Genomic DNA, 17,419 nt, shown 5'->3' with positions numbered 1-17,419 from the left:
TGATCTTATATGGAAATAGGGTCATTGTAGATGTAATTAGTTAAGATGAAAGCATTAGGGTGGGCCCTAATGCAATTTGACTCACATCCTCCTAAAAAGGCAAAATGTGGACCCAGAAATAGACGTGCGTCAGAGAAGGTGAGGCGAAGAGACTCAAGGAGAAGACGACCATCAACAAGCCAAGGAGAGGGACCTGGGACAAATTCTCCCTCACATCCCTCCCACGGAACCAACTCTGCCAACACCTCAATTTCAGACTTCCCAGTCTCCAGAACTGTAAGACAATAAATTTCTGTTGCTTAAGCCACCCAGTTTGTGACTTTGTTACAGCAACTCCAGCAAACTAATACAGTCAACATATTCAGTAAAGTCAATAAACATTTGTTTAACATACACTGTGTGCAGAGCATGTACCAAGTGCTGGGAAGAATACAAAACAGATCAAAAGAAACCCCACTACCTCTGCAGAGCTTACAATTCATTTGGGAGAACAAGTATACGCGCGTGAAATGTGATGAATAATGAGGCAGTCTTAAAGACTCAAAAGTGGTTAAAAAAAAAAAAAAGTCAGGGGAGCCAGGCGTGGTGGCTCTTGCCTATAATCCCAGCACTTTGGGAGGCTCAGGCTGGAGGATTAGTTGAGACCAGGAGTTCAAGACCAACTTGGACAACATAGTGAGACCTGTCCCTACAACAACAACTGAGCCTGGTGGCATGTGTTTATAGTCCCAGCTACTTGAAAGGGTGAACTGGGAGGATCACCTGAGCCTAGGAGGTTGAGGCTGCAGTGAGCCGTGATTGTGCCACTGCACTCCAGCCTGGGAGACAGAGCAAGACCCTGTCTCAAAAAAATAAATAAATAAAAATAAAAATAAAAAATAAAGTAAGGGGAGCTAATTTTATATGTCACTTGTGGTAAAAATGGAAGTGAATCCTGGCTTGAATATTCCAAAATAGGTGATAATAAAAATTGGAGCACTCTATAACATTTATATTTGGGTGTATGTGTTTTCATGATTCTTAGTATTGATACCATTTAACCCAAACAAAAACCATCCTAAAAGGGAATGATTTCTCATTCACTCAAGAAATACTAACTGAATGCTTCTTCTATGTAAGGGCTTCTTCTATGTAAGAGGAGCTGCAGGGGAGGCAAGCTGATGGATGCTCTTTATCAAATTTCCTTTATTGTCCACTCCAAATTGAGAAAATAATATTTCAACTCTCATTCAAAATGGTATTTCTGCCTTATATTTTTCTTAGGCCTGAAATGTAATTATTTTGTTTGTTAGTTTGTTTAGAGACAGGATCTCACCCAGGCTGGTGAGTACACTGGCATGATCATGGCTCATTGCAGCCTGGAACTCCTGGCCTCAAGTGATCCTCCCACCTCAGCCTCTGGAGTAGCTGGGATGACAGGCATACACCACCACGTCTGTTTTTTTTGTTTTGTTTTGTTTTTTAATTTATTTAGAGATGGGAGTCTCGCTTTTTTTTTTTTGTCCAGGCTGGTCTCAAACTCCTGGCCTCAAGTGTTCCTCCCACCTTAGCCTCCCAAAGTGCTCGGATTACAGGCATGAGCCAACGTTCCCAACCATTATTTTGGTTTTAAAAATCTCTTCCTCCAGTTCCTATATAAATGGAATAAACCAAGGCTGTTCATCACAACAAAGAATTTAATCATGTTGGGCAAAAATTAATTTGATAATACTCATCTGTTCATGTTGGCATGCACATAGATCTGGAAGACTACTCACTAGATAGTGGTGGTGGTTACAGGGGCTTACCCTTTTTCCTTCTTTGCCCATTTTCTCAAACATTTTTGAAATAAAGCATATACAATATTATTTTGTAATTTCAAAAGGAAGTTCAATGAAAATTTGAATTCATAGTGCTAAGAGTTGTAGAGTGAAAGGAGTGATCAAAGAAAGTGACTTCAGCTGAGTTTTCAAGGTCAGGCGCAATCAAATGTGGACCTCTCTGCTGGCATTTTATAGTCCCAGGTGGGCACTAAGAGAAGCAATTGTCTATACAGGTTATTTACTCTCTGTTCAGTATGATTTTGCCTAAGTTCAAAATAACCAGTAAAGATAAGAATATCTGGCATTTGTTTAGTATGTTTCTCTTCAAACCACTTTCTGCTGCCTATTTACAGCTCTTCCCTGGCCAAACAAAATCAAAATATTTCCTCATTCAGTCATCTCCCAATTTCAATCAACAAAATGAAATCCATTTCCATCCTTTCCCATTTTCTATTTTTCCCTTCTGAGAGGTCTATGTGCTGTGTTTTTGGCCTCCAATATTTTAATACTCTTTCTAACTTGAGTGGGGTTCTTGTGGCACATGGGTTGGGGGTTAGCTGACTTAGGGTTTCAATACAGACTCTGCTGCTTCAGTTTTGCTGAGACCTCATGTAAGATACTTTGACCATCCATGGCAACCCTCAGTTTTCTTTCTTTTTTTTTCTGATTTTTTTAATTTAATTTTTTTCATTATTGTACTTTAAGTTCTAGGGTACAGGTGCACAACCTGCAGGTTTGTTACACAGGTATACATGCGCCATGTTGGTTTGCTGCACCCATTAACTCATCATTTACATTAGCTATTTCTCCTAATGCTATCCCTCCCCCTGCCCCCCACCCCATGACAGGCCCCGGTGTGTGATGTTCCCCGCCCTGTGTTCAAGTGTTCTCATTGTTCAATTCCCCCCTGTGAGTGAGAACATGCGGTGTTTGGTTTTCTGTCCTTGCGATAGTTTGCTCAGAATGATGGTTTCCAGCTGCATCCATGTCCCTGCAAAGGACATGAACTCATCCTTTTCTATGGCTGCATAGTATTCCATGGTGTATATGTACCACATTTTCTTAATCCAGTCTATCATTGATGGACATTTGAGTTGGTTCCAAGTCTTTGCTATTGTGAATAGTGTCACAATAAACATACATGTGCATGTGTCTTTATAGTAGCATGATTTATAATCCTTTGGGTATATGCCCAGTAATGGGATTGCTGGGTCAAATGGTATTTCTAGTTCTAGATCCTTGAGGAATCGCCACACTGTCTTCCACAATGGTTGAACTAGTTTACACTCCCACCAACAGTGTATAAGCATTCCTATTTCTCCACATCCTCTCCAGCATTTGTTGTTTCCTGACTTTTTAATGATTGCCATTCTAACTGGTGGGAGATGGTATCTCATTGTGGTTTTGATTTGCATTTCTCTGATGACCAGTGATGATGAACATTTTTTCATGTGTCTGTTGGCTGCATAAATGTCTTCTTTTGAGAAGTGTCTGTTCATATCCTTTGCCTACTTTTTGATGGTTTTTTTTTTTTGTAAACTTATTTAAGTTCTTTGTAGATTCTGGATATTAGCCCTTTGTCAGATGAGTAGATTGCAAAAATTTTCTCGCATTCTGTAGGGGCAACCCTCAGTTTTCTCAATGCAAATTGAAGGTGGTATTCACCTGAAGCGAACCAATGAAATAATGAGTGCAAAATGCCTGCTCTGGACCATTAAACAAAATAAATCCTATCTGCTTTTCCTTCCTCTTTCCCTTCCTTTGAAAAGTTATGGGCAGTATAAACAATGCGTGGCCAGGCACTTGGACCCAGGACCCGGGTGAACCCACACTATGCCTCTTACCAGCTGTGTGACCGGAAGATATTGCTTAACCTCACTGGGCCTCAGTTTTCCCACCTGCAGAAGAGGGATAGTAATAGTTTCTACTGCATAGGGTTGTGAAAGTAGGATAGTAAATGTAATATAAAAATTTCTTCACTCTGTCTCTTTTTTTCCTGCTTCTCTCCCTTTCTGACATAACATCCCTCTCTCTCCCACTCAGGTGTTTCTGCCTTATTGTTAGTTCTCCTTGGAAACCTCCTCTAAATGTCTTCTACTAAAATTCTAACTTGCTCCAAGCCCCAGTTCCTCTAAGTCTGACTTGATTTCTTCTGAGTCCTCAGTGTGGGTCAGTGGTGTGTTTCTTAGCTTGGTAGTATGGTAACATGAACACAAGCCCAAGCTCAAGTCTCCTTTTTGCCACTTACGAGCTTTGAGACTTTAGGGAAATTGCTTAGCCTCTCTGGTTAAATAATTGAGAAGTTTCCAAATCTGTAAAATGGGAATCATTTTCCAGTTGCTGGGAGAATTACAAAAGATTAAGCACGTGGCCAGTCGTAGGGGCTCAGTAAGTGTTAATCTTATTCCTTTTCTTCTTTTGGTTCTGACCTCTCATTTTGGAGAGGTAGGTTCTCAAAGGGAGCTGCATACTGGCATCGTCTGGAAACCTTTACGAGAAAGGAAGCCCTGAGGTTTGATTCAACTAGCCTGGGAAGGGTCCAGACATTGGTTACTTATTGTACTGTTATTATGAGTTTCTTTTGGTTTTTGAAAGAGGTTCTTATTCTGTTGCCCAGGCTGGAGTGCAATGGCATGAGCATGATCACAGCTCACTGCATCCTTGACCTCCCGGTCTCAAGCCATTCTCCTGCCTCAGCCTCCTGAGTAGCTGGGATCATAAGTGCACACCACCACTTCTGGCTAATTTTTAAAATTTTCTGTAGAGATGGGGTCTCCCTATGTTGCCCAGGATGGTCTCAAACTCCAGTTTCCAGCAATCCTCCAGCCCCAGCCTCCCAAAGTGTTAGGATTACAGGCATGAGCCACCATGCCTGGGCTGTTATTATGTCTTCAATGGTCTCCAGAATTTTCCAGCGAGGAGCTAAGGCAGAGGACCTTTGGTCTAGCAAAGAGGGCAGGGTCTATCACTCACCAGCAACTCAACAAACACTTCTCTGAGGCTCATTTCCTCATCTGTAACAACTCAAATGAGGTTGTTGTAAGAATTTAATTAATCAATGTATATACATGTTGCAGAACACAGTGTCTGACACATACTTAATATGTTTGTTCAGGGATGTGAGAGAGGAAGCATGACAAGGGAAAATTCAGTTCTCGTAAATTCTGCCAGAAAAGGATGACCTGTAATAGTTGCCCCAGGACCCCAGGAATAACAACATTTTGTACTTGAGTCCATGTTTGGGGTAGAAGGATTGTGCTGACGCCCCTCCCACCTCTATTTTGTAGCTACATTAGCTGAGACAGGAATGGATGTGTCCGGGTCAGTCAGGGAGCTGCTATTAAGCAGAAGCAAAGCCCATCGCCTGTTTGTGGCCTGCCCTCCCACTCAGGCAGATAACCTGAGGCTGAATGACCTTGCCTCTCTCCCATTGATTTTTCCCAGTAGGTAAGCTGTGAGTGATCAGTGAGAGAATGATCCACAAACAGATAGGCATTTCACACAGCACCATTTCAAGAGGAGTCTGGTTTCTCTGGCTTCAATAGCCTCTAAAAATAATAGGTCTGGAGGTAGCTTGTTTCCCTTCTCCTTCCAAAGACAAGAGTAAATCATTAGACCTGATTTTTCTCCTTCTCATCCCTCTGCAGTTCTCTCTAAAAAGAGTTCTCATTTGAGTTCAATTGGAATTCGAGGCAGGAAAAGCAAAGTTGCAAAAGGAAAGTAATAAAGCAGAGCATTTAAATTTCCAAACTAAGTGGAGTGAAATCAAAATGAGGGCAGAACTGTTGCTACCATAGTAAAAACCGTCCATTTTTCATAAATATTTAATAAAGCTCATTTCACAACGGAATTCAAATCTGGTAACCTTAGTCAACAGAGATTTGTTGATTGATTTAGTAAAACATCACTGCACCATTCTGAGTCTCAGCTCAAGGTAAAACATTTTCTAGTTACTATAGTCTTGCCACAATCACCCTAAGGTTATCTTATAGTGCTGTCTACTGAACTACACCTCTGGAATTTCCTGAATACAATGCATTCTTGAGATACCGTATATTTAAATAGTTGATAATGTTGTTAGCCTTATTTCGCTATCTGAAGCAGTAACTTGAAAACTGCACTGCCAAAATCTGTAACTCTTTTTCTCCTACGTGCCCTTCACCCTCACCCCAAACACACACACACACACACACACACACACACACACACATTCACTCATGTCCTCAAAACTGTTTGCTTCACTCTTCCTCAGGTAGCTGGCTTGGAAGTTTCTCTAGTATTTGGCTCAAGGCTTCCCAAGCTTTTTTTTTTTTTTTTTTTTTTTTTTTGTTGAGATGGAATCTTGCTCTGTCGCCCAGGCTGGAGTGCAGTGGCACGATCTTGGCTCACTTCAACTTCTGCCTCCCAGGTTCAAGAGATTCTCCTGCCTCAGCCTCCTGAGTAGCTGGGACTATAGGCACACACCACCACACCTGGCTAATTTTTGTATTTTTAGTAGAGATGGGGTTTCATCATGTTGGCCAGGCTGGTCTTGAACTCCTAACCTCAGGTGATCCACCCGCCTCGGCCTCCCAAAATGCTGGGATTAAAGGCGTGAGCCACTGCACCTGGCCCTTCCCGAGCTTTAGAGTCCCCTTTGAGCATCATCAGGATGCTCTAAAAGCCAGTGTCCTCACTGAGGGTGCTCCTTGGCATTGTTCAACCTTGGTCCTCCAACTCATATTTGTAGCGTATCACTTTTCTAATTGTGAATCAAAACTTTCTGTGGATTCTGAGAAAATATCCCATCCGCTAAAGCCTGTTCCTGAGGTCTCTGTAAAGGAAGGAGAGACCAGGCCTTGCTCCTGGTGGATGGAGAAGGTGGAGGGAATGGGCATAGTCAGGACTCTCCCCTCTCTTAGAGGCAGGGCTATGACTGAACTCTGTCTACCCCAACAAATGATTTTTGACCTATGGCTTGATCATGCTTTTCAGTGAGTGTTGTATTTAATGAGGCATCATTTGACATTGACAACTCCTTGTAGTCTCCACAAATATTGAAGGGCCACCACATGCAGCCAATGAGCTCAGCATTGAGAATACACAGGCATGGAACCCAGCCCTCTTCCAGTGAGTGCTGGCCATATGATTTCCATGGTATTGCTAGGATTACCTACTAGTCTCCTTTAGCTCCTCTGGCTGTTCCTTCTCAGCTTCTAAAGACTCCCTTCCCTCTACCCAGTCCTGCAGTACTGGCCCCACAGGGTTCCCTCATTGTCCTTTCTTCTTTCTCTACACTCTCTCCTTTGGGCAACTAAATTCACACCTGAGGCTTTAAATACCGATTTAAGCATGTGACTTCTGTATTTCTAGGCTGGACTTTTGTACTCACAGTTTATATTTCTACTTGCTTTTTAGATATCTCCATTTTGTGGTTCCACAGATACCTTAATCTCAAAATGTTAAAACCTTATACTCATTACCTTCTCTATAAATCTGTTCCTTCCCCCTTCTGTTTCCTTTGAATAAAATAGCAGGGGTGGCCGGGCACAGTGGCTCATGCCTGTAATCCCGGCACTTTGGGAGGCCAAGCTCACATCTCTTTCTTTAAAAACCATCCCTAGGGCAGGCACGGTGGCTTATGCCTGTAATCCCAGCACTTTGGAAGGCCGAGGTGGGTGGATCACTTGAGGTCAGGAGTTAGAGACCAGCCTGACCAACATGGTGAAACCCCCGTCTCTACTAAAAATACAAAAATTAACTGGGCATGGGGCCGCACACCTGTTATCCCAGCTACTTGGGAAGCTGAGGCACGAGAATCACTTGAACCCTGGAGGCGGAGGTTGCAGTGAGCCAAGATCGCGCCACTGTACCCCAGCCTGGGTGACAGAGTGAGACTTCATCTCAAAAAATAAATAAATAAAACTATCCCTAAATTCCCCAAATTAAGAGGGCCATTTCCCTAGTTCCTTCTTTTCTTTTATTTTCCTGTTCTTTCTTGTCATATCACAGCCAAGTCCAAGATTTCCCTAGTTTCTTAAAGATCCCCAGGCAATGCTGCTGTAGTATACTTCCCACATTGTATTATTTATTTATTTTCCCCTCTAGACTATATTCCTGGAAGGCAGGTACCAGTGTCATATTTATTTTTTACTCTCTCAGTCCCTAGTACCTAGCATTCAATACATATTTGCTGAATAAATAAGAAGTAGATGGTTGGATGAAAAATAAAAATGAAATAAATATATTAAACCTTACTTTAAAAACGTTAAAGTAACTCAGGTGAGCCCACTTGTATACCTGCTCTGTTTATGTGTGTTTCTTTTGTTGTTGTTGTTGTTTTTCTGAGATGGAGTCTCACTCTGTTGCCCAGGCTAGAGTGCAGCAGCATGATCTTGGCTCACTGCAGCCTCTGCCTCCTGGGTTCAAGTGATTCTCCTGCCTCAGTCTCCTGAGTAGCTGGGATTACAGGTGCCTGCCACCACACCTGGCTAATTTTTGTATTTTTAGTAGAGACAGGGTTTCACCATGTTGGCCAGGCTGATCTCGAACTCCTGATCTCAAGTGAACCACCCGCCTCGGCCTCCCAAAGTGGTGGGATTACAGAAGTGATCCGCCCGCCTCGGCCTCCCAAAGTGCTGGGATTACAGGAGTGAGCCACCACACCCAGCCCCAGCTCTGTGTTTTACAGAGCTTGATGGTGCAAAGCACTGGCCATAAACATGGAGAAGGAGGCTCTGGTTTGAGCCATTTACATGTTATTTGGCACCTTGAGGCAGGCCTCTTTTATTCTTCAACTTGGAAGGAACTTTTATTTCTTTTTAACATTAAGAACATTTATTTATTATTTTTTAATTAATAAATTAAAATTGTATATATTCTTGGAGTTTTACTTTAGAAAAAATACTTTTTACCTGCTTTCACTCACTTGCAATTTTTCCTAATCTTAATTACTTTAAGATCATCTACTCCTCCCTCAATAAAAACTAATAATTGACACCAAATAAATTAAAGATGAGAAAACTAAAAATAAATGTAGAAACTAGAAGCAACCATTAATGAAGATCAAAGTGGCTGTGTATCTAAATTAATTTCACTGACTGATTTGGGGGACGGGTTAATAAAGATGTTAATAGTAACTCCCCAGGAGCTTTCAGCAGCGCTCCAGAAGTGAGACAGTAATGAGCCCAATCGAGGTTCATAGATTCAGTGAACGCCAGTGGCTTCATTAGCTGTAGCGAGGGAGGCTGCTGGAGTCCCAGGGTAGGAACTCCACTCAGATTACACTCCTGAAATATGTCGCCAGGCTCACAGATTCTAAAATCACGTCTGGGTGGAAAGACATAATCATTTGGAAATGAACCTGCAAAAGTTTATGGCCAGTCCCCAGTCTAGGGCACTGTTTTAATTACCAAATCATTATATCTGCCCTTTGATAATTAAGGTAAAGTGGAATACGGCTACGACCCACTTGGAGTCCAACAGGTGTGGATATTCTAGGTCACCCCCTTCCTGGTTAGGTGACCCTAAGCAAGTCACATACCTCTCTCAAAGCCTCAGCTCTCTCATCAGTAAAGTAGGGTTTACAACATTGTCTCTATCTGATAAGGCTGTTGTGAATCAAAGTAAAGTAAAATATGTAAAGTGTCTAGCTCATAGTTAGTCCTCAATTATTATTACCATTATTAAGGTGAATAATAACTTACATGTTCTTCTTTGCAAAGCAGACAATAAGAATTATTTAGAGTCCAAGAGGGTGCAATTGGAACTAGAACTCAGGTTTTCTAACTCTTAGTCATTGATTTCATTTCACAAATATCTACTGACTACTTATTATGTGCCAGGTAGGGGGCTTGTGTAAAATACTAGAAGCACTAGAAGTGGTCAGGTGTGCTCTGTAGAAAACTTCAGCACTCTTTCCACTATACCATGTTTGGGTGAAATTAACAATGGTAACACTAATGTTGTCTGTGATTTAGTAGCCCTTACTAGATACCCATTATGTAGCATGTAGATGACAAGGATTCTCCCAGGGAAAGGCCCTGTGGGTACAGAGTGGGCAGACATATTACTGCAGTCTAGGTGTGGGGAGCAGAATGGACCCATCACCAAATAAGAACAGCCTTAACGGGCACACAACTGACTTAGGTAGGCATTTGAAAACTCAGAGTCAGCTCTTAGGATGTGCGGATTCAGGCAAGGTTTAGGCCATGCAAGTAAAAACAAAAGTCAGTTCTGGTGCCTGGAGGTATTTCTGACCTCTAGAAGAAAGCCAATATTTCTAAGGGAGCAGAGATAGCATCAGTTCTCACACACCTGTCACTGGGTCTGAACCATGGCAAGTCACTGAGCAGCTGAACTTCCACACTGTGTAAAAAACCAAATGGAGGCAGTGGCTCACACCTGTAATCCCAGCACTTTGGGAGGCTGAGGCAGGTAGATCACTTGAGGTCAGGAGTTCGAGACCAGCCTAGCCAACATGGTGAAACCCTGTCTCTACTAAAAATACAAAAATTAGCTGGGTTCAGTGGCGTGCGCCTGTATTCCCACCTACTCGGGAGGCTGAAGCAGGAGAACCGCTTGTACCCAGGAGGCGGAGGCTGCGGTGAGCCGAGATCATGCCACTGCACTCCAGCCTGGGTGACAAGTGAGACTTCATCTAAAAAAAAAAAAAAAGAAAAAAAAAAAAACAAACCAACAAAAAAAACTGAATGGGAACTTTTATTGAGTACCTACTAAAAGTTAGGCACTATAGCAGATGCAATTCAATATAATTTATTTTTCAGACTCATCCTGCAAAATGAGACAGAGGGATACAACATGATTAATGAAAGGAGAACAAGGTTTGGATGCAGATTTCAGCCATTTCCAATAAGTATACACCTCTCTGTGAGCCTAGGAGAAAGCCTCTGTTTCCTCATCTGTAGAATCGGGCTACTCCACCCAGCATCGATCTTGGCAGGCAGTAATAGGATTAGCAATTGTGTATGTTCTGTGTCTGGCACATAGGAAACACTTTTACAATGATAGGATTTCTCCCATTTTGCAGATTACAGAACTAGGAAATAAGTAACTTCCTCAAGTTACCCCAGATAGTAAAAGGGGGAGCTTGGACTTACAGTTCCATATGAATTGATGCCTGCAGTTAAAGCCTCTTTTATCAATATCTTTCCCCTTAGTTCAACCCACTGAATAACTCCCTTGGCTAATAGCTCATACAACCAAGCTGATGCCGACCCAGATGCAGACCTTAGCTTGTGCTCACAGCAAACACAGAGACTTGCTCAGAACTCATTGAGCCCAAAGCAGAATAGCTCTTTATCATCCCAGTGGGGACAAGGATCATTTTAATCATCTTCTGTCTCATAGTGGTTTCAGACGCAGTGAAGCTCTCACACTGGATTTAAGGTCAAAATGAGACATTCCTAGAACAAGGCTGCATTGCTGCAGTACGATGCTGTCCGATGTCAGTATGCCATCCATGCTGTTTCTTGCTTCCACCTGGTGGTCAGAAGTTGATAAAGCAAGCATACTGAAAAACAACTGGGCATCCCTTGGCCTGTCGCTTATGGTACATCTGATTCTGGTCCCTGCAGGGCTTTTAGTACCGCTTTCCTGCCTTTTGATTTTCATTACGTTCTTCTAGTGGAAAAACTTCCCACGTGCAGTGTTCTTTCCTAGGACTAAAATAACCAGGATAATCCCGGATGCTTCCCTGCGGCTGAGCTCATGTCACAAATCAGGCATGATTTTCAGCAGATATTTCTTTAAAAGTTTGAAGGCCTCTGTGGACCCTATTCCCTTCTTTATGGGAACAAGCATCAAAGAGACAGGAATAAAATGCTTTGCACGCACATCAGGAACTAATTGCCAATTTGGCAAATGCATTGACTAATGTCATGCACTGTTATTTCTAAATCCTCTCCTGTCCTTGACCCCCAGTATCTAGATGTAAACTTGGAACCATTAGTGGAGAAGGATAAAGTCTTCTGGTGCCTCAAATGGAATTGAGAGGGATTTAAACTCAGCGCTTTTGAGTTTGGTGAAATGAACCCAGCAGTACATTAATGCTAGGATTTGAGCTCACACAGCGTGAGCGCTTTCAAAAACCGTGTTTAAGGAAGCAAACAGAGCTATGACAGACCCTTTCAGTGGAGCAAAAGGAGTTGGATGAAACAATCAATGACACATTAAAAACCACAACTGGGCTGCAATCATGTAGGCAAGAAAAAAAGTTTCTCTTTATCGCAGGATCTTTGCATCTAATGAGATGGTGACTGGACAACCTCCAGAGGAGTAAGGCCTCCGTTTACTTTAGTTGAGAAATGTCTAAATATTTAGTTGATTCTCTTAAAAGCTCTACATGATTCTGTAGCAAACTGATTTCTAAGGTATGATCTTATCAGCTCTGTATTGCCATTGGAACATCTATTTAAAGGGAATTTGAGAAAGAAAAATCAGAAAATATTATTAAAAATACAAATGTTAACTTTTTCTCTCCCAAAATTAACTATTTTTAATACCCTTCAGATGCTTAGTTTAGGACCAATACCTTTCCAGCTAATACTTTCTCTTAATTTGTTCTAAATTGAGAGAACTCTCGACTGGGCTCCCCGCTGGGCTCCCTCAAATTGTACTGGCTGAATTCAAAGTTTGGGGGTGCTTATGACTACTTCGAATGAAATGGAAAGGAATGGAAATCTCATCCAGAATGGTATTCTCTGCTTCTTGTATATTCCTCCTTTCTATTGGTTCTGATGGTGAAACCTACACTGTATGGTTTGGCATAGCCACTGCCCAGGGCTTCAGTCTTCAAAGCGGAGTGGCTCCTGAGTGCATTTTCGTGGGAGTGGTAGGGAGAGCTAAGAAGGCTAAAGGAACTTTGTAAAAATGTCTCTAGAGGTTCGCCATTTGAATGCACAATACTGTCTTCTACTAGCAGATTTTAGCCAAGACCAACATTCAATTTGCTCTAAGTTTCTGGGATCTTCAGCGCCACAACTCCTGTCCATTCTAGCTACGGCATCCATTGGGGCTTTAAACTCTTCCAACTTTCTGATAGCAGAATCCTCTCCAGCTTGCGGTTCTTTATTGCTTCCTGTGGAGTATTATTAAGACTCACCAAACTCTCTCCCCTCCCCCACTGCAGGAGGCCCGCGCAGCCCCGGCCCGCCAGCTTGATTAATGTGTCTTGGCTAATTGTGTGAAAGACGGCAGCCCTTTAGCAAGTGTGACCAGTTTATTGTTCAGCCAATCACGGGCGCCTCAGTTAGCATGTGAAAAGGGGGTGTGCTGCCGGAGGAGGGTGAGTGTTCTGGCGGCTGAGTCAAAGGAGGAGCGTTTTGGGGGGTCACAGAGCAACACCCACTTCTTTGAGGGGATGTTACTATGCTCTACTAAACCTGTAAACCTCTTACTCAAAACACTTTTTTCTCCTCCCTCTTTTTTCAAGATTTATTTTTTTTCCCTTGGTGAAAGCAGGCAAGACACTGGGTACTCTGCAGATGGAGTTCACGTTCCAGGGTTTTTAATATTTCACTTTTATATTTCTGTTAGAGAATGATCCTGCTGAGAGTCTGGGAATCCGTGCTCGTCAGAACCCCCTCACTGACATTTGGATATATTGCTCTGAAAGCTATCCCAAGAGAAAAGATTAAACAAAAAAAGCGCCTACTTTTCAAAGCCTACTTTTCAATCTGCCCACATCAAAATAAGACAACTGGCCCTTTGAAGTGGAGGACACAGAGTTCTCAGCCAGCTTGCTTAAAACGGGGAGTGGGGGAGACAGAAAGGAAGGGAGGGAGGGAGTGAAAGAGAGAAGGAAGGAAAGAAGGGAGGGAAAGAGAGAGAGAGAAGGAAGGGAGGGAGGGAGAAAGGGAAGGAAGGAAGGGAGGGAGGGAGGGAAGGAAAAGCAAGTTTCCAAAATTATACAACCCTCTTACCTTGCCCAGGTTTAATCAGGCACTAGAATCTGAATTGATGGCTAGAAAACTTACAACCCTGCTCATCAAAGCTCCAAGAAAACAGTTAACTGTCAGAGAAATCCGACTGGGTCAGCATCAGGTGACTTTTTAAAAGCTGTACAAATGGAAACTTTGCTGTCCTCCTAGAGGTGTCCAGATAAGGCCTAGAAATGGAGGCATGGGTGTAGATGGACACTGGATGGTTCTCCCAAGTTCCGGACAACTGGACTCCCTCAAAATTGTACTGGCTGATTCAAAGTTTGGGGGCTCCTAGGACTACTTAGAATGAAAAGGAAAGGAATGGGAAGCTCATCCAGAATGCTGCTGACACGGTGCTCATCTGTGACACTTTCCTGGCTCCCAGCTTGTCTTCTGCTCCCCTTAATCACTGACATTCAAGTGTTTAGAAGCCACAGCAGCTCAGGGATGGGGATGGGTAGGGGGTGGCTCAAAAGGAACTTATTGACTCACGTAAGAGGATGTTCCTGAAATGCAGATGTTGGAGACCCTTTTAAAACACAGTCCTTGGGATTGAGTTATCAATAATACTGACCCCATGGCCCAAGATAGGCTGGACTTTTAAGATTTCCAAATCCAGGTTTAGACATCATGTCTATGGCTAAGGTTCCAACTCCCTTTGCTCCATAAGCTCAGCCTGGCCCACAGCCACAAACTCTCCAAGCCATGGAAGCAGGGCTCACAAATGAGCACCCCAGTAACAAAGAGAACTGGTGAAAGAGTGTGGGTGAATGAATCCAAACCCAAACACTAGAGATCCAAGAATGCACCCTCTCCATCTGTGTAGCCCCAGCGCACGGCACAGCACCTGGCAGATAGTAGGTACCTGAAAATTTTTGACTTATTTGGATTAAATTGAAAACTTAAAAGAAAAACAATGGATGATGAGCCCTATGGATGTTGGGCCTGGAGACTTTTCTTCTTATATAGAAAAACTGCACATTGTTTTGAAACAACAGAAAATTTTTTAAAATGTAACATATTTTCTCTGTTTTATTGGAACCCAGTTATCTTTTTTTTTTTTTTTTGAGACGGAGTCTCGCTCTGTCGCCCAGGTCGGACTGCGGACTGCAGTGGCGCAATCTCGGCTCACTGCAAGCTCCGCTTCCCGGGTTCACGCCATTCTCCTGCCTCAGCCTCCCGAGTAGCTGGGACTACAGGCGCCCGCCACCGCGCCCGGCTAATTTTTTTTTGTATTTTTAGTAGAGACGGGGTTTCACCTTGTTAGCCAGGATGGTCTCGATCTCCTGACCTCATGATCCACCCGCCTCGGCCTCCCAAAGTGCTGGGATTACAGGCGTGAGCCACCGCGCCCGGCCGGAACCCAGTTATCTTATTAAGCACACAATCTGGCAGGGAAGCACTTTGGCCAAGTTTCTTGATTATTGCTCTCACCAAGACATTTTGTATTAAGGATCACTGTTGATTGCCTGGACCAACCTGAAACCCAAATGTCTGAAGTTTGGGGGAGCAGCATATGCCCACCACAGTAGCTTTGTATTGGCATCATCCAAATTGTTTCCTACAATCCATCTGTGACTCTAAACTTCTGCTGGCATTCTCAGTTAGGAAGCTGAGGGAAAATAGAGAACAGAGTGGACAGGGAGAAGTACAGGCAGGGCAGGAAAAGATGAGAGCCACGTTCTCCTGGAAACCATGGCAACTGGAGATAGGAGCAATTTGCAGACTGGACCACGGCTCCACAAGAAACTTGTTCTTTTTTCTCTATCTCAGACCAATGGAAATAGGCACTATTCTAAGTCCTGTGACCAGAGAGTAGCATTTTTCTCACGTGTTAAACTCTAGAAAAATAGTTAGAAATCATAAACTATTTGCAAATGATATTAAGGCCTTTTAGCAATAGATATAACCATTCACAAAGCAGCTGAAAGGACTTTACAGTTAGTCTTTAGCTTGCTGTAGGGCTTCCATAATCCTGGTGGTTCAAGATGCCAGATCCCTATGGATAGCTGTAAGCAAAAGTATTGGATGCTAAAGAAAATAAGAAAAAGAGTCCCCAGCTCCCTATGTATTTTATTCTCTTCTTTAATCACATTTTAACTCTACCTACAATTTCTTGCTCTCAGGAAACCCTTCCAGGATAATCTCATACCAAAGTTAGTAAGGACAACAGGCCAGGCGCGCTGGCTCATGCCTGTAATCCCAGCATTTTGGGAAGCTGAAGCAAGTGGATCACCTGAGGTCAGGAGTTCGAGACCAGCCTGGCCAACATGGTGAAACCTCATCTCTACTAAAAATACAAAAAATTAGCTGGGCATGGTGGCGGGTGCCTGTAGTCCCAGCTACTTGGGGAGGCTGAGGCAGGAGAATTGCTTGAACCCAGGAGGTGGAGGTTGCAGTGAGCCGAGATCGTGCCACTGCACTCCAGCCTGGGCGATAAGAGCAAAACTCCATCTCAAAAAAAAAAAAAAAAAAGTAAGGACAACAATTTGGGAAGATTTCATTTTTAGTAATGGAACAATGTAAGACCATAAAGACTAGAAAAATCTGGCTTGGAGCATATCCACCCTAATCTTGTCGTTATCTGTACCTTTCTACCTCCCCTTCAACCCTGCCAGTGAGAGCTCAGCTTTGGCATGGGCTTTATTTGCTTCTTCAGCTTCTAATATGATCCTTCATCCTGTAGTTCAGTGCCTGTCTCCTCCCCTCTGTCTCAACATCCTTGAAGTGACTACTGCTTAATCTGATCCCTCTGATGTGGCCCTGCGACAGCTTCTCAAAGAATTCCCCCATGGATAACACTTCCAGCACTTCTAAATCGATCCCAGAAGCCAGTCTTGAAAGATGAAATGTGTGAGAGACAATGACCAAGTGTCAGGTTTACAGGCAATGAATGAACTCTTAGTAAGTATAACCTACAGACAGCTTACTTGGCATGTCCTAGGCCTAGCGAGCCTCTACCTCTGTTCTGTTGCATTAGCTTTCTTTTTATACATATGCAATTCAATACTAATCAATACACTTATGACAGTCAGGGGGCCCAAAAGTGAGCCCATCTTTTGAGTTGTTCTTTTGAGCCATTGGGTATTTGACAATGGATGTGGAATCCACAGTAATAGTCATTTCAAATTCTATTCAGCTTGCTACTTGTGTTTTACAGAGCTGGGGAACTGGTCTAACCTCAGCTACTCTTTCAGTGTCTTCCTCATACAAAGATTAGTCAGGGAATATATGAATGTAGAAATTCCTCTACACCCATCTTTGCCGCTGAGTTCACAATACAAGAACGCCCTGTTAGCGTGGCCAATGCTCTCCTTACATTACTAATTCTCAGAGTATTCAGAAGCTCAGATCAATATTACCTGGATTGTAGTTAGGTAGCTTGGAGACTCCCGGCCAAGTATCCTCTGTAGGGACTCCCAGCACCTATATAAAGCCAAACAAAGAAAAAGAAAGGTGAGGTGGGGAGATGAGGTGGATGGAAGAGGTATGGAGACATGCAGGACAAATCAGGGAAGAACAGGGAAGCGTCAGATGTATGTCCCATTGCATGACACCAGCTGATGTATACGAGAAAGAAACTTGAGTGTTTCCAACGTTTGTGGTTTCTTGGGCAAAACTGTAATACATTCCTATGGTCCGGGGCCTGCATTCTTACTGACTCACTTGTTCTGAGGCAGATCATACAGCCTTGCT

The 17,419-nt window shown here is 43.0% G+C and overlaps 1 protein-coding gene across 12 annotated transcripts in view; it reads right to left on the bottom strand.

The window, feature by feature from the left end:
* The window catches only part of CDK15 (cyclin dependent kinase 15), an 89,122-nt gene that overhangs the window by 23,528 nt on the left and 48,175 nt on the right, over positions 1-17,419 (bottom strand). For 11 of the 12 annotated variants that reach the window (NM_139158.2, NM_001366386.2, XM_011511652.2 and 8 more), the window contains one exon: positions 17,086-17,149. In NM_139158.2, coding sequence (NP_631897.1) covers positions 17,086-17,149 — 64 coding nt within the window. Of the gene's footprint in view, positions 1-15,096; positions 15,733-17,085; positions 17,150-17,419 lie in introns of those variants that run through there. The other variant, XM_011511654.3, reaches the window with a different exon arrangement.

The sequence above is a fragment of the Homo sapiens genome, chromosome 2 (assembly GCF_000001405.40).
Source record: "Homo sapiens chromosome 2, GRCh38.p14 Primary Assembly".
Taxonomy (NCBI): Eukaryota; Metazoa; Chordata; class Mammalia; order Primates; family Hominidae; genus Homo; species Homo sapiens.
The sequence above is the reverse complement of the archived record's forward strand: the minus strand, read 5'-3'. Positions and strand labels throughout refer to the sequence as shown.